General features: G+C 35.5%; 1 protein-coding gene across 23 annotated transcripts in view; it reads left to right on the top strand.

Moving 5' to 3' along the window:
* Positions 1 to 26,986, top strand: part of ANKRD17 (ankyrin repeat domain 17) — a 185,423-nt gene that overhangs the window by 62,155 nt on the left and 96,282 nt on the right. For all 23 annotated transcript variants that reach the window (XM_005265671.5, NM_198889.3, NM_015574.2 and 20 more), the window contains exon 2: positions 19,111 to 19,264. In XM_005265671.5, coding sequence (XP_005265728.1) covers positions 19,111 to 19,264 — 154 coding nt within the window. The remainder of the gene's footprint in view (positions 1 to 19,110; positions 19,265 to 26,986) is intronic.

Raw genomic sequence — 26,986 nt, 5'->3', positions numbered from 1 at the left:
TTAGCTTGACAAACAATGGTAAACAGAAGTAACATTAGAACACTAGATCCTTGCTCACTTAAAATCAGACATAAGTATATGTTTGTGTGTGTGTGTAAATATAAACGTATATATGTATATAAACATACACATACGTGTATATATGGTACATATTTGAATTAAATGAAATATATCAGAATTTGTGGTACACGATTAAAGCTTAGGTCAGAAAAGAAGAAAGTTTTCAAATCAGCGATATAATAATTTCCAACTTAAGAAACTAGAAGAGCAAATTGAACCAAAGCAGGCAGAATGGAAGAAAGAATAAGATAAGAAAATCAATGAAATTAAAAGCAACAGAAACTAAGGCCAGGTGCAGTGGCTCATGCCTGTAATCCCAACACTTCGGGAGGCCGAGGTGGGCAGGTCACGTGAGGTCAGGAGTTTGAGACCAGCCTAACCATCATGGCAAAACCATCTCTACTAAAAATACAAAAATAAGCTGGGCATGGTGGCAGGCACCAGTAATCCCAGCTACTCGGGAGACTGAGGCAGAAGAATCACTCTGGGAGGCAGAGGCTGTAGTGAGCTGAGATTGCCACTGCACTCTAGCCTGGGCTACAGAGTGAGACTCCATCTCAAAAAAAAAAAAAAAAAAAAGAAACATGGTTCTTCGAAAGAATCATTAAATCTGCTAAAGCTCTAATCATACTAACAGAGGGAGAGAACATACAAATTATTAACACTGGCAGTGAAAAAATGTAATGTTGCCTCCCATCCCACCCATATACACTAAAAGGCTAACAGGGACTAATATCTGTTAGAGAAATTGTATTTCACATGAAAAATTCTTCAGCAGGCTGGGCACGGTGGCTCATGCCTGTAATCCCAGCACTTTGGGAGGCCAAGGTGGGCAGATCACGAGGTCAGGGGATTGAGACCATCCTGGCCAACATGGTGAAACCCCCTGTCTACTAAAAATGCAAAAATTAGCTGGGTGTGGTGGTATGCGCCTGTAGTCTCAGCTACTCGGGAGGCTGAAGCAGGAGAATAGCTTGAACCCGGGAGGCAGAGGTTGCAGTGAGCCGAGATTGTACCACTGCACGCCAGCCTGGTGACAGAGTGAGACTCTGTCTCAAAGAAAAAAAAAATCTTCAGCAAAGAAAACTCTTAAGTCTACATGACTTCGTGCACATATTACATGATATGTTAAAGGTAAAAATAATACTAATTCTTCACAAACTTTTACAGAAAATATATGATGAGGGATTACATTTCCACTCACATTATGAGACCAGCATTACCCTGATACCAAGACCAAGCAAAGATATTATAAGAAAAGAAAATTAAAACCAATATATATCATGAACATAGATAAAAAATCCTAATAGAATATTAGCAAACAGTCCAACAATATGTAAACAAGATAGCTCATCACCAAATGGTGTGTATCCTAGGAATATAAAGTTGGTTTAAATTGTTTAACGTTTACTGATCCATCAATGTAATTCACTATCAGCACACTCAAGAAAAAAAATTATAATCACAGTAGATACAGAAAAGGAACTTGACAAAATTCATCATCCACTGATAACAAAAAATTCTTAGCAAACTAGGAATATAAGAGAGTTACAATAATTAATCAGTGAGTTTAGCAACGTTTTCCATTCCTATATATTAGAAATGAACATTTGGAAAATGAAATTTTAAAAACGCACCAATTCTAATTGCACCAAAAAACATGAAACACTTAGGCATATATCTAATAAAGTATGTATGTAGTTTTTGTGCTGAAAACTAAAAAAAACAGTTAATGAGAGAAATAAAAAATGACCTAAATACATGAAAAAATATGTAGTATCTAGGCTTATGATTTATTTCAGGTTAATTTTTGCCTATGGTGGAAGGAGTAGGTTAAAGTCCCAAGCAATAGGTTGATAGCCAGATGTTTCAGCTGTATTACAGTATATGATATATACTACAATGTATAGTATATATATTTCCATGTATTTTTAAAAGTCAATACTGTTAAATGTAAATTCCCCCGAAAACAAGAGTATCAATGCAATCCCAATCAAAATCCCACCAGATCCTCTCCTTTTTTTAATTTACAAGCTTTTTAGTATCTATATAGAAAAGGCCCTATAATAACCAAAACGGTTTTGAAAAGCAAGAACTAAGTTGGAGAATTTAAAGATTTATTATAAAGCTAATCAAAACAGTGTGGCACATATATTAATGGATCAGAATAGTCTAGGGAAGATACATAATACTTGACAGAGATGCCAAGGCAATTCAATAGAGAAAATGTAGTCTTCTCAACAAATGATGCTGAAACGTTTGACTGTCAACCTATGTTTTGGAACTTCAACCTATTCCTTGGCACTATGTGCAAAAATTATCCTGACATTAATCATATGCCTCAATGTAAACAATGCAACTTCTAGAAGAGAACATAGAAAATCTGTGACTTTGGGTTAGATAGAAGTATTTTATATATGGCAAAAAACCACAAACATAAAATAACCCCCGATAATTTGGATTTCATTGAAATTAAAAACTTTTGTTCTTCAGAAGATACTAAAAAGAAAATAAAAAGACAAACTACTGGCTTGCAGAAAATATTTGCAAGCCATGTGTTTGATAAAGGACTTGTTTGGTATATATTAAGAATTCTCACAAATCAATATTGAGAAAACCCAATAAAAAGATGATTTTTTTGTTGTTGTTTTTGAGACAAGGTTTCACTCTGTCACCCAGGCTAGAGTGCAGTGTCGCAATCATGGGTCACTGCAGCCTCAACCTCCTGGGCTCAAAGGATCCTCCTGCCCCAGCCCCGAGTACTTGGGACCACAGGTGTGCACCACCACGCCTGGCTAGTTTTTGTATTTTTTGTGGAGATGGGATTTTGCCACGTTGACCAGGGCTGTTGCAGAACTCCTAGGCTCAAGCAATCAGCCCACCTTGACCTCCCAAAGTGCTCCAATTGCAGATGTGAGCCTCAGGGACCCAGCCAGGAAAAGGTTTTAACAGATACTTTATTGAAGATTTGCTGATGGCAAATAAACACAAGATAAAGGTGTTCAACACCATTAATTAGCCATTAGGGAAAAGCAGAGTAAAACTACAAAGGGGGGAAAAGCCAGAAGATACCAAAAGCTAGTGAGAATATGTAGCAACTGGAACTTTCATATATTGCAGGTAGGAATGTATAGTGGTGTCACGTAAAAGTCTGGCAGTATTTTATAAATTTAAACATACACTTCTCATATGACCTGTCCTCCTCTTATGTACGTATTTAAGAGAAGTGAAACCATGCCTGCATAAAGTAGTGTATTTAAATGTTCATTAGCTGGTGAATAACCAAACAAATTGTGATACATCCATATGATGAAGTACTGTTCACCATTAAAAAGAAATGAACTGATGCATGCTACAACATTTATGAATCTCACAAGCATTATGTGTTTGAGAAAGAAGCTACATTCAGAAACCTGTGATTCCATTCATTCTGGAAAGGAAAAAATGAAAGTAACAGAAAAGTCATGATTGTTAGAGGCAAAAGGTAGTGGTACATGATTGCCTACAAATGGACAGGACAAATTTTTGAGTGTTAAAATACTGTGTATCTTAATTGTAGATTATATATTTTTCAAAATTCGTAGATTTGTACCACGAAAAAAGGGTGAATTTTACTCTAAAGTATACTTCAATAAACCTGATTTTCAAAAGGAAGGAAAAAGAATTAAAAGAAAAAGAATTAAAAGAAGAGAACATAATATGTTCCTGATTTTACTTATCTTGAGAAAACGAGCAGTTGCTTTAACTAATTCTTACAATATTTTATTTTGTTGCCAAAACTTTTTCTTTCATTTAAAAAGAATGAGGTTGCATATGCATACTTTCAGATGAGTTACATGTACCAGCAAGTTAATCCTATATATCTCAAGACAATACAAATTGTTATGATAGCTCTTTCAGAATTTATTCTAGAAATATGTAAATGGTTGGGTGATTCTTTATATTTTTGTTTGAAAGTCTAAAGAAGTTGTTTTTTCTCATTAATTGTTTGCTAAAAATCACGGTAGAAAACTGCATTTTTTTTTTAAGGTAAGCAATATAGAAGGGTATGGAGTAAGTAAAAAGGTACAATTCTCTCTTTGATTTCATTCTTTGATTACCACTGTTAATAACTTGGGTTTACCCATCTTGAAATTTTTTGTGTACATTCTTGCACATGTGTATATGCTTTATTTTGCTTTTTAAGTCAACTTAAATAGGTACATACCATGTTTTTGTTTTTGTTTTTGTTTTTTTTGCTTCAGGCTGCTTTTTTCCACCTAACAATGTGAAGATCATTCTGCATCAATATTAATGTATCCATTTGGTAAATATTTTTTAAGTAGTTAATGTTTAAGGCACTATTCTAGATACAGGGGATAGAGCAAGGAACAAAATAGGTTCTTTGTCCAAGTGAACTTATATTCAAGTGAGAGGAAGACAATAAATTGGGGGGAAATGTCACTATTAATAAGTTCATGAAGATAAATAATGTAGGCAAAAGAGATGAGAGGTGATGGGACAAAATGAGCAGCACAGATAGTTGTGGTTTAGGCCTTTATGTGTAAATCTGCTTTATTCTTAAGGTAGCTATTATTCCATATATAATTTATTTAACCATAGTATTGATGGATATATGGGTTATTTATAGTCTTTCCTGTTAAAATAAAAAGAACTTCCATATACGTAGTTGGTTGCTTACATGTGCAAGTATTTTTATACTAAATTTCTAGAAAGAAAATTGTATTTTTAAATGTTGATTTTAGATTCTGAAAAATTATCCTTGAAAACATTAGATATTATCTGTCAATGGATGAAAAATATTTTATTTTAATTTATATTGCCTGATTCCCAGTGAAACTGGGCATTCGTATTTATCCTATGAATTGCCTACTCTGTAATATTTTGCCCATTGTGGTGTTTGTCTTTTTCTTACTAAAATTTAAAAATTTCTTTATAATCCTCTTTTTAATATGTACATTATATTTGTAATATTTTCTCCTAGCCTGTCAGTTTTTTTATTTTATGGCATCTTTGAATTTTTATTCTCATACTGTCCACATTTATTAGTCTTTTGTTTCCTAGTTTCTAGGTTTTGTGTCTTTCCAGAAAAGCTTTCTTGTCTACAAAATTATAGCAACAACATAATCTCTTATATTTTCTTCTACTACTTAGTTTTATTTATGTTTCTAGTAGATTTTCCTTTACATCTGGAGATACACACACACACACACACACACACACACACACACACACACACACATATATATTTTTTGGTAGGGGCCTATTTTTTCCAGCTTCATAGCTGTTCTCCCAAAATAGTTTGTTGAGCAGTATGTCTTTTTCCTACTGACTTGAAATCTTACCTTTATCACACTTTATAAGTCCCATATATATATGTTCTGGATTCAATACTCCACTGTTTTGGTTATTGTCATTTTATATTATATTTGACATCTGGTAGGGCATCCCTCCCCATTGTCTTTTTCAACAAATTTTTTTGGCAATTCTTGTGTATTTTCTCTTCCAGATAAACTTTAGAATCAACATGTCAAGTTCCATTAAAAATCCCTTTGGGATTTTGATTGGAAGTGCATTGAATTTACAGATTAATTTGGGGAAAATTGACATCTTTACACTATTGAATCTTCCCATCCAGGAACATGGTATGCCTCTCCATTTCTTCAGGTGTTTTTTTTGTTTTTGTTTTTGTTTTGTCCTTTAGTAAAGTTTTACAGTTTTTTTCCTGTAGGTCTTACACTTTTCTTGTTAGGTGTATTCCTGGATTTTTTTTGTTTTTGTTGTTGTGAATTACATTTTTTTCTTCCATTTTACATTTTATTTTCTCATGGGTTATTGCTGGTATGTAGGAAGGCTATTGATTTTTATGTTGATCTTACCATTTACTTAGTTTTCAGTTGCTTCTCTTGAAGTTTCTAGAAGGATGGCTGTATTTTCTGCAAATGATAGCATTTTGTCATTTCCTTTTCCTTTTTCTGTATGTGTTTACACCCTTACAGGTTTTTTTTGTTTTTTTTTTGTTTTGTTTTTTTTTTTGGAGGACATTTGTTTTGTTTTTCTGGTCTTACTACATTGGTTAGGTTTCCAGAATAGTTCATTACTAGTTTTGATTTGGGTATCTTGTCCCCGATTTAAATGGGATGCTTCTAAGTTTTAAACTTCTACAATAATATATATCTTAGATTTCTAGTAGAATATTTATTTATTTATTTATTGAGACGGAATCTCATCCCATCACCCAGGCTGGGGTGCAGTGGCGCAATCTCAGCTCACTGCAGCCTCTGCCTCCCGGGTTCAAGTGATTCTCCTGCCTCAGCCTCCCAAGTAGCTGGGATTACAGGCACATGCCACCACACCTGTCTGATTTTTGTACTCTTAGTAGAGACAAGATTTCGCCATGTTAGCCAGGCTGGTCTCGAACTCCTGACCTCAGGTGATCTGCCAGCCTCAGCCTCCCAACATGCTAGGATTACAGGTGTAAGCCACCGCGCCCAGCCCCAGAATACTTTATAAAGAATAAAAGTTTTCTTTTTGGCTTAATAAGTATTTTAATGAAAATGGATATTGTCTTTAATCACGTACTTTTGTTGAGATGATACATATTCTTTTTTACCTGTAATACCTCAATGTGGTGATTGCATTAATGTTAGTCATAATGTGTTCTATTTTTAATATTTATTCAGCAGATACCTGTTTGGTTATTGCATTGTGTCAGGAACTATGTCACACACTGGTGTTAGCACTAAGTCTGAAAGGTTCATTTTTTTTTATGGAGAAGAAATAATAAGCAAGTATCCAAGAACAAGATAATTTCAGGCTGTGGTAGTATTATGGAGGAAATAAAGAGGATGGTGTGGTAGAAAGATAAGGAGAGAAACTCCGTTGATAGTATCATCTGAGTAAGTAAAACATAAGCTAAGACCTGAAGAACGAAAGGGTTGGGAAAAGCATTCCAGACAGCTGAGTGCGATGGCTCACGCCTGTAATGCCAGCACTTTGGGTGGCTGAGGGGGCGGAATGGTAGCCAGGCATGGTGGTGACCGCCTGTAGTCCCAGCTGCTCAGGAGGCTGAGGTGGGAAAATAGCTTGAACCCAGGAAATGGAGGTTGCAGTGAACCAAGATGGCGCCACTGCACTCCAACAGAGTGGGACTCCGTTTCAAAAAAAAAAAAAAAAAAAACATTCCAGGCAGAGGAATATCACCGTATATGTATGATTAATTTTATTTGTGTGTGTGTGAGATTTGTGACAGAGAAACAGAAAAAAGAAAGGATTATATTTCTTAGTGTTCTCTATTATCCCCTTTCTTGTAGTTGTCTTTTATACTACTACTAAATTTAATTTGCTATTGGGTTTTTGTTGTTGTTGTTGTTATCTCGTTTAGGTTTGTTAATTGGCTATCTATAATGAACTAGAGAGTTTTTCCATCTGTTTTCTGGGCCTTGTAAATAAAAAAGTAGTGCTCTATTCCTTAAATGTTATAATAATGCTATGTAATTTTGATAGAAGTTGCCTCTAAATTCATTTGGGTTTAGGTGCCGTTTTGAAGGGTTAGATTTATCTGTCATTGACGTTGCTTCAGTGGACATATTCTACTTAGGTTGTCTACCATTTCTTGAGTTAATTTTGATTATCTTTCTTTCTAGAAAACCATCCATTTTGTTTAAGACTTTTAGATTTATTGATTCATAGATGTGCTCAACTTTCTGACTTTAATAACTCCTTATATTTTTCTCTGTCTCTCATTTTTCATAATCATTCTCGCCAAAGGCTTATATCCTCTTTCTAGACTTTACCCAAGAAACTGTGTTTGGTTTTATTAATGAAACTTTTACCTCTTCTCAATTTTCTCATTTTTGTTTTTTCATTATAAATTATGTTGATGCATTTTGATTTGTATTCTATTTTGAAGCTTTTCATTTATTTATTTTAAATCTCAGGTTCTAATGAATTTAATACATTTCAAGCTCTAAATTTTTCTTTTCTTTTTTGTTTTTTTTAGACGGAGTCTCACTCTGTCGCCCAGGCTGGAGTGCAGTGGCACAATCTCGGCTCACTGCAGCCTCTGCCTCCCGGGTTCAAGCAATTCTTCTGCCTCAGCCTCCTGAGTAGCGGGGACTACAGGCGCATACCACCATGCCCGGCTAATTTTTATATTTTTAGTAGAGATGAGGAGTCACCATATTGGCCAGGCTGGTCTCGAACCCCTGACCTCATGATCCGCCTACCTTGGCCTCCCAAAATGCTGGGATTACAGGTGTGAGCCACCATACCTGGCCTAAATTTTTCTTTAAAGATCGCTATGGCTAAATCCCATATGAAATAATATGCTTATAATTTTATTTTTCATTTACTCTGTATTCTGAGAGTTAATAGTAGGCTTTTTTTTTCCTTTTCTTTTTAAATTTTAAAGTAGTGTCGTCATCTTATAGCTAAGTTTTAGTTTCTTTCAACTTTATGGACCAAGAATGTGCCCTTGTATAATTTCTTCATTTTGAAATGTGTTGAGATTTTCTGTTTTGCTTAAGATATGATCAGGTTTTTGTTTTTAAAGACTTTTCTCTGTTTGTGATATACTAAGTTCTAGTTCACTATGAAATATAAGTATTACAGTTAATTACTTCTATTTCTAAATCCTCTTTATCCTGCCCCTGGAAAAATGGTCTTCCATGAAACTGGTCTCTGGTGTCAAAAAGGTTGGGGAGCACTGCCCTAGAACATAGGCTTTTGGCATTATTTCATTTGAATCCTGGCTTTCATATTTTCAAAATAATCAGAAATCTTTGTGATATATTTATGTTATATACTTCTGTTAACAGTGGAGGATGTCCAGGTTCTTGGCATCTGGAACAAAGAATTGGACAAAACACACAAACAAAGCAAGGAAGGAATGACGGGATTTATTGAAAATGGAAGTACACTCAACAGTGTGGGAGCAGGCCCAAGCATTGGTGCTCAAAGGCCTCCTTACAGAATTTTTGAGAGTTTAAGTCCCCTCTAGAGGATTCCATTGGTTACTTCAGTATGTCCTATGTAAATGGAGGAGATGAAGTAAAGTTACAAAGTCATTTATGGCATATACTCTAACAGAGAGGATATTTCCTGTTACAGCCGAAATGTGACTCGGCCTTATGTTCCCTGCCAACAGACCCCATTTTCCTGTCTCACTTCCACTTTTATAACTTTAGTGAATCATATATTAAGAATTACCTGAGATATTAAAAATACGTTGTATTATACTGGTTTCTTTTCTAGCTGCTTAGTCTTGCAATTCCAAGGCTGCCCCTTTCTTGGATGGGTTTTTCTTCTTGAAGTAATATTTTCTCTAAATTCAGAAAATGTTTGTGGCTTTTAAATTTCATAGTGTTTACATACCTAAAAAAATTTCATTATACAGTTTGGAATTTTACTTTCAAACTGTTCATCAGAACTTTTAATTGCACAGATATCTTCTAGCATCTGGTGCTGTATTTAGGAAGTCTGATGTCAGTCTGACCCCTAACAGGTCCCCACTGCTACCATCCTGGAAGTTTTCTAGACTTTATATCCTTAGAAGTTTGAAATGTCACCAGGCTTATGACTACAGGTTTTGTGGTGTGTATATATGTGTGTGTGTGTATCTGTGTGTGTTGTAAAGCCATCTTATAAGAATATTTATATTCTGCAGCTGCTTTTACAATAATTGATAAATGATAATTCCTGGAGCAGGCTAAATTCATAATTGAATTGCATCCTACTATTGATAAGTAATTTTGGGAGAATTTTTGACAAACCATATAACTTTAATTCTGTTACAGAAAAACCACTTAGAAACTCTAGATTTGAGAATTCCATAGAACTTTGTCTTATTTGAAATATTCATAATTTGTCCACTTTGTAAAGTTTATGTTAAAAATTTTATATTGAATTGTTAGTAATGTCATACTCAATTGTTGCAGGCAAATAGCAGTTTGAAGCATAAGAAGTCACGTTTTACGAAAGTGCTATAGAACAAAGCTGTGTTAACTGTTATATCACTGATTCCTAGATTATAGTAGCTGCTTAATATTTGTCAAATTGATAGACAAGTATGAATGAAAAAATATAAGAATAGATCAGTGGTTTATTCTGTAAATAGACTTTTTGAAAGGTAAATTATCTTTAATGAGGTTCACTTTAGTTTTATTTACTATAATCTCAGAATACCATAATGAATCATTGACCATTCTTTTTACAAGAAAGATTTTATTTCTTTAAGTGGGTTTTTATTTTCTTTCAACTTTTCAAATTTCAGTCTTATACTTGGATTAGTGTTCTGTGACATTACTGAAGATTTTGTCTTTGTATGTATAGAAAAAATATTTGAATTGTATTAATTTTGGAATAATTTACCCCATTAAGAATTGTGGTATTTTATCAAAGTTTACCCTTATTTAAGACTATAAAAAATACAGACAAAAGGAATTATTTCTGGGTCATGTTCAGAAGAGACTAAATTGTGATGACTTTACAATTATGAATACTTCTTATTTCTTATTTTATGTGTAAATCTGCTTATCAGTATTCAAAGAACTATAAGAGCAGATAGCCATATTTTTCCAGGCTTACTTGAGAGCCAGAAATTATTATAATTTCTTAATAAATTAAGAATTTATTCAGTCACTGTCATAAAATGATCATAAACTCAAGTTTCTTAATTTTTCTATTCACTTTTTAATATTCAGTTTTTAAAATATGTATTCATATGTAAAATGTATTTCATATTGATAAAACCAAAATTAAGACTGTTGTTGCCTTCAATTATGTTCACATAGCCTGTGCTTTGAATATCAGTGAATATGTTTTATATGTATGAGTTATATAATTCATCCCATAATGATAGCCGTAAGTCATTTCTAATGAACTTTTATTTTTTGTAGCCAAAGTGGTGTTAGTTATGGATTTATGTCTGTAAACCCATTTTATGTTACTGAAATGTCTAAATTGGTCCTAAAAATCAATCATTGACACTTACTAAAAGAAAAATTTAGAAAAAATATAAAATCTTTTTGGAGGGATTTTTCTGCATTGACTGGATTTATTAAGAGATCTTAAAATTTTAAGTATGGTAAATTTTTGACTGAAGATAACTTCTTTTCCTGGAATAAGTGTGGGGATTATTTGTTTTAAAATGCTTTTATAATATAGTCAAAATTTAGAACACCTTTTCTGAAATGTAGATTACTGGTTTAAAATTCAGATTACCAGCTTTTGAGATTCAGTGATAAATAGAGTATTTTCCAGAACAACAAAAACAATAATAAATATTTTTATTTATTACCAGCTTTTGAGATTCATTGATAAATAGGGTATTTTCCAGAACAACAAAAACAATAATAAATATTTTTTATTTATTTTTTAAATATTTTTTATTTATTATTATTTTTTCTTCGGAAAACATCAGATGGGGGATGGGGTTAGTGTTGAATGTAAAGAAGTCTAAATTTTGCGGTTGCCAGCATTTTACTTTTATAAAGTATGTTTATGCTTAGAGACTGGCCCTTTTTTCCATCTTCACCTCACATAATGCATTTGTTTTACTTAAGTTCGTAATTGGTTGTTTTGTCTCTGGTGTCACAGCTGTCTAAAATGATCTTTAACATGGTCTCTAATTATCTTTATTTTACCAGTTATTTGCCTTAATGCTTAAATCCTTCAGTAACTTAATATAAATTCTGAACGCAGCACAGTATTGAAAGGCGCCATCTTCCTGAAGCATCATTGCTTTTAGCACTCTCATTCATAATTGTTTTCTCATTTCTCTGCACAATCACTGTATTAGTATCTGTTTAGTACTTCTTTCAAACTTGTTTGATAGTTATTTGCACATAGAGTTGCCTTTCTTTATTGTGTATTTATGGAAGGTATTGATTATAACAAAATTATTTTTGTGTTTGTATAATCCAATGAGTAGCCTACTGCTTTGCACTTAGTATGTAATTTGTAGTTATTTGTTAAGTTGGAGTTTGTATGTATGGTATCAGTTAATTAAAATATACTAGTTTTCTTTTCTTTTTTTTTTTTTTTTTTTTTTTTTGAGAGGAAGTCTAGCTCTTGTCCCTCAGGCTGGGTGCAATGGCGCTATCTTGGCTCACAGCAACCTCTGCCTCCCAGATTCAAGTGATTCTCCTGTCTCAGCCTCCTGAGTAGCTAGGATTACAGGCACCTGCCACAACACCTGGCTAATTTTTGTATTTTAAATAGCAATAGGCTTTCACCATGTTGGCCAGGCTGGTCTCGAACTCCTGACCTCAGGTGATCTGCCCGCCTTGGCCTCCCAAAATGCTGGGATTAGGCGTGAGCCACCGCACCCGGCCAAAATATACTAATTTTCTTATCCTTTGGAATAAATACGAGTTTATTAAACTACAGAACGAACCATTCTTCTCTAGTATGGCAGTAATATTTCTAACTTGAGGAGTAGTTTGAAATGTAATGCTAACGATGACAGTTGGTCCAAATGACCCCGCATTACCAAATTTCCATGTGACTTTGTGTTTTGAGTGTAGAAGGATTTGAATTACCGTTAATGACAAACAAATTCATTCAGCTCTGACCATTGTTAAAAGACCTTGGTTTTCATTATTAAATATTTGTATTAAGTCAGACTTAATTTGGGGAGAAAGTGAAAAAGAATTCTAATTATCTTAGAAATCTAAGTAATATTACTGTTAAATAATAGTTTTTCTGTTTAAATAAAAGCAACTTCTACAGTGAAATGTCATCACCTTTAGTCTTTCAAAATTAAAAGGACTTAGCATGAACAAAAGTACAGAGACTCGTATAAAAAAAAACTCTATAGACCGGGTAAAAGTGGCTCACGCCTGTAATCCCAGCACTTTTGAGAGGCCGAAACTCACCTCTACCAAAATACACAAAACTTGTGTTTTGGTGAAAACTCATCTCTACCAAAATACACAAAAATCTAGGTGGGCCTGGTATCATGCGCCTGTATTTCCAGCTACTCCGGAGGCTGAAGGAAGAGAAGGAGGCTGAGGTGGGAGAATCGCTTGAACCCAGGAGGCCAGAGGCTGCAGTGAACCGAGATTCTGCCACTGCACTCCAGCCTGCGTGACAGAGTGAGACCCTGTCTCAAAAAAAACAAAACAAAACAAAAAAACCCTCTATATATCTATTTCTCAGATGCAACATTTTCAAGAATTTGCCATGAAGCTTTGTTTTCTTTAAGTATTTGATGACAAATTTCCGACACTATTCCTTCATACTTCAGTATGCATGTCTGAAAAACAAGGATATTTTCTTACATAACCAAAGTAATTCCTTTATATTATCTAATACCCAGTTCACATTCAGATTTCTTGTCTCAAAAATACTGTTTTTACAGTTGTCCTGTTTGAATAGGATTTAAGTAAGACCTATTATTTTGCTGGTTATATCTCTCGAGTCTCTGTAATTCAGAACAGTTCTTACTCTATTCAAAAAAGATTTTTTGCTCCCATTCTACTTACTTGAAGGAAATGGTCAGTTTTGCTGCAAAATGTTCCACATTTTAGACTTTCCTTTTTGGCTTATATTTAACCCAGTGATTCTCAACCTCTTTCTCCTTCATGATTTTTGTTGTTGTTGTTTTTAATTTTCTCTTCTAAGGGAACATTTAGCAATGTCTGGAGACATTTTTGGTTGTTACAACCTGAAGGAGTGTTGCTAACTGGCATTTAGTGAGTATAGGCCAGGGTTGCTGTTAAACATCCTAAATTACACAAGACAGCCCCAAACAACAAAGAATTATCTGGTCCAAAATGTTAATAGTGCTTTTACATTGAGAAACATTGATTTATCTTATTCCTGTATTTGCTTTACTAATTTTCATGTACTGGAAGTTATTTACACGTCTAAAAGTTCTAGTAGATTATTGTTTATTGGGGGGACAAGAATTCTTTATAGGAGGTGCTGTGTATTTTATGTTGCATAAATCGGGGGCATGTTAGGTTTGTTTGTCCCACTTTTAGTAATTAAACAATGGGTTCAGGTAGTTAACAGCCTGATCCCTAAATGTAAAATTTAAAGTCACCTTTCCCAGAGCAGTGTGAAAGTTCAACCCCTTATTATTCCAGCATTGTATTTGCTGGTGGAAAGTATATTGAGCTAGTTAATTGGATAACTGGTCTCTTGGTGCTAGGTATTTAGAAATCTCCTATTTAAATAAAGGTCCTTGTGTCTGGTTTTTTCATGTGTAAACACTGAATTGAACCTGGTGATTTCTACGCCTCTTGCATTTTGATGGTTCTTTATGCCTAAACATCATTTCATAAAATATCCAGCTGGTCAAAACAACACATTCAAACCACTTTAAATACAACTTTTAAAAAAGGCCAGTTGTAACTTTGATAACTTTTTTCCCCCCTTAGAGAATACATTTAGTAAGGACATTTCTTTCCTTTGTCTTCTCTCTTCATGGAAGTTATTTATATATTTCATTCAAATAAAATATTTTCGAATACTTTCTTTTAAATTTTTTTTTTTTTTTTTTTTTTTTTTTTTTTTTTTTTTTTTGGTGGGGACGGAGTCTTGCTCTGTCGCCCAGGCTGGAGTGCAGTGGCTCGATCTCGGCTCACTGCAACCTTCACCTCCCGGGTTTAAGTGATTCTCCTGCCTCAGCCTTCCAAGTAGCTGGGATTATAGGAGTGCACCACCATGCCTGGCTAATTTTTGTATTTTTAGTAGAGACAGGGTTTCACCATGTTGGCCAGGCTGGTCTCGAACTCCCAACCCCAGGCAATGCACCCGCCTCGGCCTCCCAAAGTGCTGGGGTTACAGGCGTGAGCCACCGTGCCCAGCTCAAATACTTATTTTAATTTCTTATTTGGACCATTTTTAATGTTTGTTATGTTCCAGAAGTTGGTTGTGATTCAAAATGATTTTTTTTCTGTAGAATAATATAATAAAAATGCGATAGGTTTCAGAGGGAAAATTCATTTTAGTTTTTAATCTGAACTGTCTCAGCTGGGGATGTGGTATGGCAGAGAGGTGTATGCCCATAATTTAATAAAGGAATACTTATTTTTGTATGTTTATAAGATTGCATCTCTTTATGCCAGTCTCTCTTCACTTGTTTTGTAATGTAACGCGAGCTCTTTCTAGTTGGAAAAAGAGGAACTGGAATTAAAGGAGGAAGTTCTCTTTTTCCTCGCTGAACTTTTATACCTCTTTTTCTTTCTCATTACCTTATGCACTTTCTATCCTGTATTATGGTTCATTTTTACACACACTCATTAAAGAAGTAGGGTCCTACATAGCAAGGCTGGTATCATGCATTTCTTTATCTCCCATAGTATTAAACAGTATTTTTTACACATAGAATGTTTGCAATAAATGTGTGTGTAATAAATCAATGAAGATAGCATTTTGCACCACCTACTACCTAATGTAAGATTCTGTATCTCCTCTAAGATCTATAAAATATACCTTTAGATGTATTTATTGTGATTACCCCTTTGTTCTCCAAATACACTAGAGCCTTTTAGAATCTGAAAGGGAAGAATACCAAAATCATCTGGTAAATTTCACCTTCTTTACAGATTCTGACTTATTCAATAGTTGCTTGAATCCTGACAGTGAGTTAGACACATTTCTAATTGCTGGGTGTACATGACTAAACCAAAAAAAGTGTTTGTTTTTACAGAGCTTAGAAAGACTGTATGTATAATATTCATGTGTGATAAATCTATGAAAAAATTAAGCAGAATTGGGGGTCTAAAGTTATAGATGGCTGAGAGAGAGACTTGGTTAGGTCACATAGGTAACAGCTAAAGCAATTCTGGTACTTAGGCCTTCATATTTTAGCAGTGTCCTTGAAAGTAGCTCCTTCATTAATCATAAATGAGGGATAGGGAGGAAATAATAAATATTCATTCCTGTTCTTTTCTGTCATTTTGATAGCCCCTCTCTTTTCTAAAGCTGTCTATAAGAATTTCATAGTCATTTGAATTTACAGTTTTTTAAGTTACCAAGTTTTGCATATAGTGAGAATAGTGGGCCTAAGAATAACATAAGAACTTTTGTGGAGAAGCTTAAAGTCAGTAGAAAGTAAATGTTTCTGTGTTTATTATATCTCATCAAGAGATGGAAATGCAATTTTCCTAGTAAGTTTTCACCAGGCTAGTTAGGATATCTGTGGCATAGGGGACTTTGTGTAAGACAGTCGCTTCTGATTGAAATTTGATATCTTCTGTGATCTAACTTCTAACCTATCTTTTCAAACCTACAGTAAAACCCTGTGTAAAACCCTGTGTTCTATCACATAGAAATTTTTTACTTGCCAGTCCATGTTCCTTCTTTCTCTTCTTTTATACAAATTAATTTTTTTGGTCAAAATCCTTTTATATTATTCTTTATGCATGCAGTGTCTCCTTTGAACATCTTTAGCACCTCTGATCTCTACCTTTGATTAATCAGTTAACTATATACTGCTTTTTGATGTCTTCTACTTTCTAAAATGTTCATTTAAAATATTGTATTATGGTATTTCATCTATTCATTTTACCTGTTCAATTTCATACATTTGTTTATTTGCTTTTATCTTTTCTTATTAAATTGAAATAATTGTAAATATTTTAATAAATTTCAGATATTAGAAAATTTCATTAGGAAACAGCTTTTTCTTTAGAAAGACTCATCTTCTGGACCTTTGACAATAAAACAAATTTTTTTACTGCTATAATTTTGAATCACTCTTTGCTGTGCCCAAAAATTTGCTTCCTAAAGTATAATACTTTAGTCAGCCTTTAAAATTCTTCCTTTCTCATACTTTTACTACTACCTTTAAAGATAACTTAAAATTAGCCAGGCCTGGTAGTGCATGCCTATAATCCCGTCCTTTGGGAGGCCAAAGTGGGAGGATCACTTGAGCCCAGGAATTCCACATCCTGTTGCTACAAAAATAAAAAATCAGCCAGGCGTGGTGTGTGCCTGTAATCCCAGCTACTTGGGAGGCCAAGGCAGGAGGATTACTTGATCCCAGGAGTTTGAGGCCAGCTTGGGCAACACAGTGAGACTATCCATGTCTCTTTAAAAAAAAAAAAAAAAATATATATATATATATATATATATATATATACACACACACACACACACACACATATATACATATATACACAGATATATATACACACACACATATATGCACACACATATATATATAATTTAAAATATATATAATTTTAAAAAATTGTTTTTGTATTTTTTATCTCCTTGCCATAAGGAGTTATAGATTAATTAAAGTTAATGTAGAACAAAATTTTATGAAATTTAAAAAATATTTACAGAATATTTTTAGAATGTTGTGTTTGTGTATAAAATATTTGAAATCTCAAATGTTATTCCACGTTAAACTGCTTTAGTTTAATGGAACTTTGTAGAGAAACATATTATTTCTTCCCAGATTTAAAATTTAGTATTAAATGTTTTGATTAATTATAGCAGTATTCCTGGTTACTTGATAGTTGACTTTTCAAGATGGAACAGTATCGTTTCTGAGGTTATGATGGTTAAGGATTTATTCCTTAAGTTGTCTTTTTTATTGTTGACCTTCTGGATACTAGGCATGAGCGTGATTGTATTCTAGCTTATTAGTTATTTTTACATCTATTTTGGTTATTGCAGTGTTAGTAGTACCTTAGATTTGTGAAATAAACTGATCATTTTAGTGATATTTTATATAATAATTACCAATTTTTATCACTAAGCAGAAAAGAATATGTTTTAGTACCTATTTGTAAGTAGCACTGTGATAGGGAATATCAAAACAAAACTTTACCCCTGTCTTAGGAGTTTGTTATTTTCTAATTCTTTAAATTTACTTGAATCGGCTAGACTTATATCAGTGTTTCTTAACACAGTAAATAGACCCCTCAGGGCCCAGAGACCATTTCAAGGTGTCCATGAGGTCAAAACTATTTTTATCATAATATTGAGATGTTACTTGACTTTTTTACTATGTTGACATTTACGATGATGGTGCAAAAACAGTGGTGGGTAAAACTTATGGACCCGAAGGCCATGGAAACAAACTGTACTGATATGATTGTATTCTTCACTACCACGTGCTTGAAGTTAAAAAAAAAAAATTAAATGCTAGTTTAAGAATATTCTTGATGAAGCGATAAAATTATTCATTTTATGAAAACTCCCCTTTTGAATGCATGTTCTTTCAATATTAGTGTGTGTAACAAAATGGGAAGTACACATAAAGCACTTTTGCTGCATATAAAAAGTATAGTGTTTGTCTGGAGGAAAAATAACTGCAATTTTTTTAGATGTGAGGTGAATTAGCCTTTTTTCCCCCATGAAATGTCATTTTTATGGTAAAGTACAAACGAAAAACTATAGTTATCAAACTTGGATATTTGGCAAATGCTCCTCTAAAAATGTTTGAAGTGAGTCTGTCACTTTAAGGAAAACAACAATACTTGTTGCCAATGATAAAGTTAAGCTTTGAAGCAAAAATTAGAATTTTGGAACTTGTTTGCCTAGGCTTGACAGCTTTCCAGTACTTAAAGACTTTTTGGATGAAATCAGTGGTGATATTAATGAATGTGATTTTTTGATAGTGATATTTGTTACTTAATTTCCAGTATGGTAAATATCAAGAAATACAGGGTTTATATAAAGTCCTTGGGAGTTCAGTACTTCATTGAGTCCTGAAAGCAAAACATTTAAAAACTGCTGATTTAGTTAGGTCTTCTATTCACAGTTAAAGTTTTCACAACCTAAGCATCACACTCAACCCTACATATACCTAATAACCAAATTAAAGTAGAAAAGAATATTAGTAAAGAAAATTAGGCTGCATATGAGAAATAAAGTTTTGAATTCTTCCACAAAAAAATTTCTTCTTTTGTTAATCAACAGGCTTAGATGTCATGTTGAACTTTTTAGGGTTGCACTGTGTTTACCATTGTTAATTATGTTAACATATTTTTTCCCTCCCCTGCTTTCTTTTTATTTCTCTCCCCTCTTTTCCTTTCGCTGTTCATTTCTCCCTTCCTCCCTCTTTTTGCATTTGTTTTATAGGTGGAGTCTTTCATTTTGGATCAGGATGATTTGGAAAATCCAATGCTGGAAACAGCTTCCAAGTTGCTCTTATCAGGTACTGCTGATGGTGCAGACCTCAGGACAGTAGATCCAGAAACACAGGCTAGACTGGAAGCTTTACTAGAAGCTGCAGGTATGTACTCTACATAGTAATAAGTCTACCTTGTTATGTAAAGTTGCACATCAATCTAATAAAAGCTCTTGTTAAAAATGAATGATATTGGGTATTTAGAATGATACTATTAATAAAGGTTAATTGATTACTTTCTGCTGAATTACATGGAGCGTTTTACTAAAGCATATTGTAATTTTCATTACCAGAGTAAAGTCCATGTGCTACAGTTGACCTTACAAAGAGAGATTTTTCAGTTGAGTTTGATTATTCGTGAATTATGTATTTGTGAATTTGCCTACCTGCAAAAATGCATTTTAACTTCAAAATCAGTACTAGCGGTCTTTCATAGGCATGTATAAAGTGGTGGAACATTTGAATCACCCTACATGCATGCTCCCAGTAGAAGTCGAACAAAGTGATGCTCTACATTCTTGTTTCAGCTCTCCTGCTATAAATAAGTGTCCTTTTGTGGCCTATTTAATGCCAGGTTTTACACATTTTTGTGATTTTTGTTGGTGTTAATTTTTTAATTTTTAATTTTTGTGGGTACATAGTAGGTGTAAGTATTTATGGGATACATGAGATATTTTGATACAGGCATGCAATGCATAATAATCACATCAGGGTAAATGGGCTATCCATCACCTAAAGCATTTATCCCTTGTGTTACAAACAACCCAGTTATACTTTTTTAGTTATTTTTAAGTGTACAATTAAATTATTTTTGACCATAGCCACTCTGTTGTGCTAGCACATACTAGGTCTTATTCATTTTTTCTAACTTTTTTTTTTTGATACTCATTAACCATCCCCACTGCCCCAACTACCCTCCCCAGCCTCTGGTATTCATCCTTCTACTCTATCTTGGCTATTGTGAATAGTGCTCTAATTAACATGGGAATGCAGATACCTCTTCAATATACTGATTTCCTTTCTTTTGGGTGTACACCTAGGAGTGGGATTGCTGGGTCATGTGGTAGCTCTATTTTTACTTTTGGGAGGGACTTCCAAACTGTTCTCCATATGGTTGTATTAATTTACATTCTCACCAATAGTATATGAGGATTCCCTTATCTCCACATCCTCTCCAGCATTTGTCATTGCCTGTCTTTTGGATAAGTCATTTTAACTGGTGTGAAATGATGTCTCATTATAGTTTTGATTTGCGTTTTTCTGATGATCAGTGATGTTGATACCTTTTCATATGTGTATTTGCCATTTATATGTCTTCTTTTGAGAAATGCTGTTCAAATCTTTGACCCATTTTTGGATCAGATTATTAGATTTTTTTTCCTATTGTTTGAGCTCCTTATATATTCTGGTTATCAATTCATTGTCAGCTGGGTAGTTTGCAAATATTTTCTCCCATTCTGTGGTTGTCACTTCAGTTTGTTGATTTTTTTTTTTTTCCTGTGCAGAAGCTTTTTAACTTGATGTGATCCCATTTGTCCTTATTTGCTTTAGGAGCCCATGCTTTTATGGTATTACTCAAGAAATCTTTGCCCATTCTAATGTCCTGGAGAGTTTCCCCAATGTTTCCTTTTAGTAGTTTCATAGTAGAGGTCTTATGTTTAAGTCTTGAATCCATTTTGATTCTATTTTTGTATATGGTGAGAGATCGGGGTCTAGTTTCATTCTTCTGCATATGGATATCCAGCTTTCCCAGCACCATTTATTGAAGAGACTGTTCTTTCCCCACTGGATGTTCTTGGCAACTTTGTCAAAAATGAGTTGGCTGTAGATGTATGGATTTATTCCTGGGTTTTCTATTGTATTCTAGTGGTCTATATGTGTACTTTTATGTGACAATCATGCCATTTTGGTTACTATAACTCTGTAGTATAATTTGAAATCAGGTAATGTGATTCTTTCTAGTCTTGTTCTTTTTGCTCAGGATATCTTTGGCTATTCTGGATCTTTTGAGGTTCCTTGTAAATTTTAGGATTGTGATATGGTTTGGCTCTGTGTCCCCACCAAAATCTTACCTTGAATTGTAATCCCCATTATCCCCATGTGTCAAGGGAGGAGCCCAGTGGGAGGTGATTGGATCATGGGGACAGTTTCCCCCATGCTGTTCTTGTAATAGTGAATGGGTTCTCACAAGATCTGATGGTTTTATAAGGGGCTCTTCCCCTTCCGCTCCTCACACTTCTCTCTCCTGCTGCCATGTGAAGAAGGTCCTTGATTCCTCTTCACCTTCTGCCATGATTGTAAGTTTCCTTAGGCCTCGCAGCCATGTGGAACTGTAGGTCAATTAAACCTCTTTTCTTGATAAATTACCCTGTCTCGGTTATTTATAGCAATGTGAAAACAGACCAATATAGATTGCTTTTTCTACTTCTGTAAATAATGTCATTAGTATTTTGATAGGAATTGCATTGACTCTGTAAGTTGCTTGGGGTAGTATGTACATTTTAACAGTATTGATTCTTCCAACCCATGAACATGGAATATTTTCCCATTTTTCTTGTGTCGTCTTCAATTTTTTGCAACAGTGTTTTATAGTTTCCCTTGTAGAGATCTTTCACTTCTTTGATTAAGTTCCTTCCTAGGTATTTTATTTTATTTGTAGCTATTGTAAATGGCATTAGTTTCTTGATTTGTTTTTCAGATTGTTAGTTCTTGGCATATAGACATGGTACTGAGTTTTGTATGTTGATTTGTTTCCTGCAACTTTGCTGAATTTATCAGTTTTAATAGTTTTTTTGCTGAAGTCTTTAGGTTTTTCCAAATATAAGATTATATTATCTGCAAGCAAGGATAATTTGACTTCTTCCTTATCAGTTTGGTTGTCTGTTTCTCTTGTCTGATTGCTCTGGCTAGGACTTGCAGTACTGTGTTGAATAGAAATAGTGAAAGTGGGCATCCAGATCTTGTTCCAGTTCTTGGGGGGATGCTTTCAACATTTTCCCATTTAGTGTAATGTTGGCTGTTGGTTTGTCATAGATGGCTTTTATTACCTTGAGATATGTCCCTTCTCTGCCAGTTTTGCTAAAGGTTTTAATGATAAAGGGATGGCTGGATTTCATCAAATGTTTTTTCTGCATCATTGAGATGATCATGCAATTTTTGTTTTTAATTCCTTTTATGTGATGTATCACATTTATTGACTTGCATGTGTTAAACCATCTCTGCATTCCTGGTGTGAAACCCATTTGATCAAGGTATATTATCTTTTTGCTATGCTGTTGGATTCTGTTAGCTAGTATTTTGTTGAGGATTTTTGCATCTATGTTCATCAGGGATCTGTAGTTTTCTTCCTTCCTTCCTTCCTTCCTTCCTTCCTTCCTTCCTTCCTTCCTTCTCCCCTCCCTTCCCTCGCCTTCCTTCTCCCTTCCCCTCCCCTCCCCTCCTCTCCTTTCTTGGTTTTGGTATTAGGGTGATACTGGCTTCATAGAATGATTTAGGGAGGATTCCCATTTACCCTGTGGGTTCTGCTGAAGAAAGTTTATGCCCAGTTGAAATTATTATGAAATTCAGTTGGAAGCTTTTTTCACCCTGTGACCCCTCCCTAATTCTGCTAGCTGCCTTCCCTGAGGGCCCTATCAGATGCAGTCAGGGATGGCTTCCCTGGGCTCGAGCTGGAGACTGGGTGTGCTTACAAGGCTCTTCCCACTGCTGCTTCTACCTTTATATTTCATGTGGCTCCCTGTATTCATTTTTGTTATAGGTGAGGTTAAATCCTTCTCCTGTGATCTGGATTTTCAGATTCCCCAGTGGACATGTGTGTTTGGAGACAGGTTTTCCTGCTCTTGTACTTTGGGAACTCACAGTTATTTGACTGTCTTGCAGAATTTGCAGCGATGTGTCACTTCTTTCAGAGAATCTGTGAATTATTTTGGTTTTCCTGGTAATGTTCCTGCAGTGGTTCTTAGAGCCGGAGTTTGTGGTGTGAGTCTCCACATGCTATTCTGCCCATCCAAGTGGGAGCTGCACATTAGCCCTGTCTCCTCTCCTCTCTGCCATCTTTCTTTCTAAGTCCAATGTTTCTTTGTTGATTTTCTCTGTGGAAGATCTGTCCAATGCTGAAAGTGGAATGTTAAAGTCTACAGCTATTTTTATATTGGGGTTCTATCTTTACCTTTAGCTCTAGTATTTATATAGCTTTGTGCTCCAGTGTTAGGTGCATATGTATTTAAAATTGTTATATCCTGTTGCTTAATTGACCCCTTTATAATTATATAATGATCTTGTCTCATATTTTTGTGTTGAAATCTATTTTGTGCAATGTAAGTATAGCTACTCTTGCGCTTTTTTGGTTTCCAGTGGCCTGGAATATCTTTTTCAATCCCTTTATTTTCACTCTGTGTGCATCTTTATAGGTAAAGTGTGTTTCTTGTAGGCAGCAGGTCATTGGGTCTTGTTTTTTATCCATTCAGCCTCTGCATGTGTTTTGGTTGTAGTCCTTTAAGTCCATTTACATTCAGTGTTGTTACTGATAAGTGAAGACTTACTCCTGTCATTTGGTTATTTGTTTTCAAGTTGTTTTGTATTGTTAACTTCCTTCTTTCCTTCCTGCCTTTCAGTGAAAGTGATTTTCTCTGGTGATATGTTTTAATTTCTTGCTTTTTATTTTTTGTATCTATTGTATGTTTTTTGATTTGAGGTTACCATGAGGCTTGCAAATACTATCTTATAACCCATTATTTTAAGCTGATAACAGCTTAACACCACTTCCATAAACAAATTTAACAAGGTAAAAGAAAACCAATGACTCGACACCTTAAGTTTGTCTGCTACTTTTTAACTTTTTGTCATTTCTGTTTATATCTTACTGTGCTGCATATGTCTTGAAAAGTTGTTGTAGTTATTATTTTTGATTTGTTAATCTTTCAGTGCTTCTACTTAAGGTAAGCGTTAACACACCACAGGTACAGTGTTATAATATTCTCTGTAGTTAATATTATCAGTCAGTTTGGTACCTTCAGATGATTTCTTTTTGCTCATTAACATTCTTTTCTTTCTGATTAAAGAAATCTCTTTAGTGTTTCTTGTAGGACAGAAGTGGCGATGATGAAATCTCTCAGCTTTTGTCTGGGAAAGTCCCTCTTTCTCCTTCATGTTTAAGGGATATATTTGCCAGATGTACTATTATAGGATAAAATTTTTTTGCCTTCAGTACTTTATGTCATGCCACTCTCTCCTGGGCTGTAAGGTTTCCACTGAAAAGTCTGCTGCTAGATGTATTGGAGCCCCATTGTATTTTATTTGTGTCTTTTTGTCTTGCTGCTTTTAGGATCCTTACCTCCTTGACCTTTGGAAGTTTGATTATTAAGTGCCTTGGGGTAGTCTTCTTTGGGTTAAATCTGCTTGGTGTTCTGTAACCTTCTTGTACTTAAATATTGGTATCTTTCTCTAGGTTTGGGAAGTTCTCTGTTACTATACCTTTACCTTATAAACTTTCTACCCCTATCACTTTCTTTACCTCCTCTTTAAGGCCAATAACTTTTAGATTTGCCATTTTGAGGCTGTTTTCTGGATCTTGTAGGCATGCTTCATTCTTTTTTATTCTTTTCTTTGTCTCCTTCAACTGTGTATTTTCAAATAGCCTGTCTGCAAGCTCACTAATTCTTTCTTCCGCTTGATCAATTCTGCTATTAAGAGACTCTGATGCATTCTTCACTGTGTCTGTTGCATTTTTCAGCTCCAATATTGCTGCTTGATTCTTTTCAGTTATTTCAGTCTCTTCGTTAAATTTATCTGATAGAATTCTGAATTCCTTCTCTGTGTTATCTTTAATTTCTTTGAGTGTCCTCAATACTGTTTTGATTTTTCTTTCTGAAAGGTCACATATCTGTGTTTCTCCAGAATTGGTCCCTGGTGCCTTATATAGTTCATTTGGTGAGGTCATGTTTTCTGATGGTCGTGATCCTTGCAGATGTTTGTTGGTGTCTGGGCATTGAAGAATTAGGTATTTATTATAGTCTTCACAGTCTGCACTTGTTTGTACCTGTCCTTCTTTGGAAGGCTTTCTAAGTAGTCGAAGGGACTTGGGTATTGTGATCTAAGCCATGTCTGCATTGGGGTGCACCCCAATCCCAGTATCGCTATGATTTTTTATGGATTCATAGAGGTACCACCTTGGTGGTTTTATTTAAGATCTAGAAGAATTATCTGGATTACCAAGTAGAGACTCTTCTTCTCTTTTCTTTCTCCCAAACAAATGGAGTCTCAGTCTCTCTCTCTCTCTCTCTCTCTCTCTCTCTCTCTCTCTCTCTCCCCCCTCTGAGCCATGTGGAGCTGGGGTTGGGGTGACACAAGTACCCCTGTGGTCACCACCACTGGGACTGTACTAGGTGAGACTTGAAGCCAGCAGAGCACTGGGTCTCACTCAATGCCCGTTGTGACTGCTACCTGGCTACCACCTATGTTTGCTGAAGGCCCTAGGGCTCTATAGTCAGCAGGTGGCAAAGCCAGCCAGACTTGTTTTTTTCCCCTTCAGGATGGCAGGTTCCCCTAGGCCCTGAGCTGATTCATAGATGCCATCTGGGAGCCAGGAACTGAGGTCAAAAACCTTAGAAATCTATCTAATGAGGGTCTATTGTACTGTATCTTTGCTGGCACTCAAACCACGATATACAGTCCTTCCCACTCTTCCTCTTTCCACAGGTAAGGAGTCTCAGCCCATGGCCGTCACCACCAGAGGCCCACAGGGAGTACTGCCAGGCTACCGCCAATGTGCAGTTAAAGCCCAAGGGCTCTTCAGTCAGCTTGTGATGAAAGCTGCCAGGCCTGAGACTCACCCTTCAGAACAGTGGGCCCCCTCTCTCCCAGGACAGCTCCAGAAATGTCATCTAAGTGCCAAGCCTTGGAATAGGAGACCCCGAGAGTCCACTTTCTACTTAACAGCCCCCCGCCCCCCGACCCCAACTGTGCTGTCACTGTTGCCACCATAGCTGGGAATGTGCTGGTTCTCACATGAAGCCAGCACATCTCAGAATCTCAACCAAGGCAGGTGGCATACTACTTGGGTGTCGCTGCTGGTTCTTCAGGGCCCAAGGGCTCTTTAGTCAGTAGGTGATGGATCCTTCCAGGGGTGGGTTCTTTTCTTCAAGGGAGCAGGTTCCCTTCTGGCACAGGGTGTGTGTAGAAAGATTGTCCAGGAGCTAGGGTCTGGAATGGGGGGCCTCACGAATCTGACTGGTGCCCTATCCTACTGTGGCTAAGCTTGTATCCAAGATGCAAGACCAAGTTGTCTCTGCTCTTTTCTCTCAAGCAGAAGGAAGGGGTCTCTTTTGGAGCCTTAAGCTGTGCTGCCTGAAGTTGGGAGAGGGGTGACTCAAGCACTCCCTTAGCCACCCAAGTGGTGGCTCAGGAAGTTGCCTGCTCCCCATCCCCAGTCCAGTGACTCCAAGTCCATCTTGGCACTAGGACTTGCCTAGGAATTGCAGTCCTGTGACTTAGACTGCCCCTCAGCTTCACTTAGGGCCCCAGAACACTGCAGCCCGTGTTGACAGGGCTTGCTGGAAGTCAAATTTGGACTGCTGGGATGGACAATTTCCTTGCGGCTATGCCTGGTCCAAAAGCTCCCTCCACGAGCAGGCATCAGCTGAGTTCAGCCTGTTTCTGCTCTCCGCTGTGACCGGGCAGCACTGAGTTCAATGCAAAGGCTCACAGTTGCTATGCTCTCCGTCTTACAGTTGCACAGTTCTTTGCACCATGTGGGGAGCTGCTAGGGGATTAGGGAGGGGTGTCATTGGCAATTCAAAACTGTCTTTTCTACCCTCTTTAATGCCTATT

The sequence above is a fragment of the Homo sapiens genome, chromosome 4 (genome assembly GCF_000001405.40).
Source record: "Homo sapiens chromosome 4, GRCh38.p14 Primary Assembly".
Classification (NCBI taxonomy): domain Eukaryota; kingdom Metazoa; phylum Chordata; class Mammalia; order Primates; family Hominidae; genus Homo; species Homo sapiens.
This window is presented reverse-complemented; position numbering and strand designations above follow the sequence as displayed.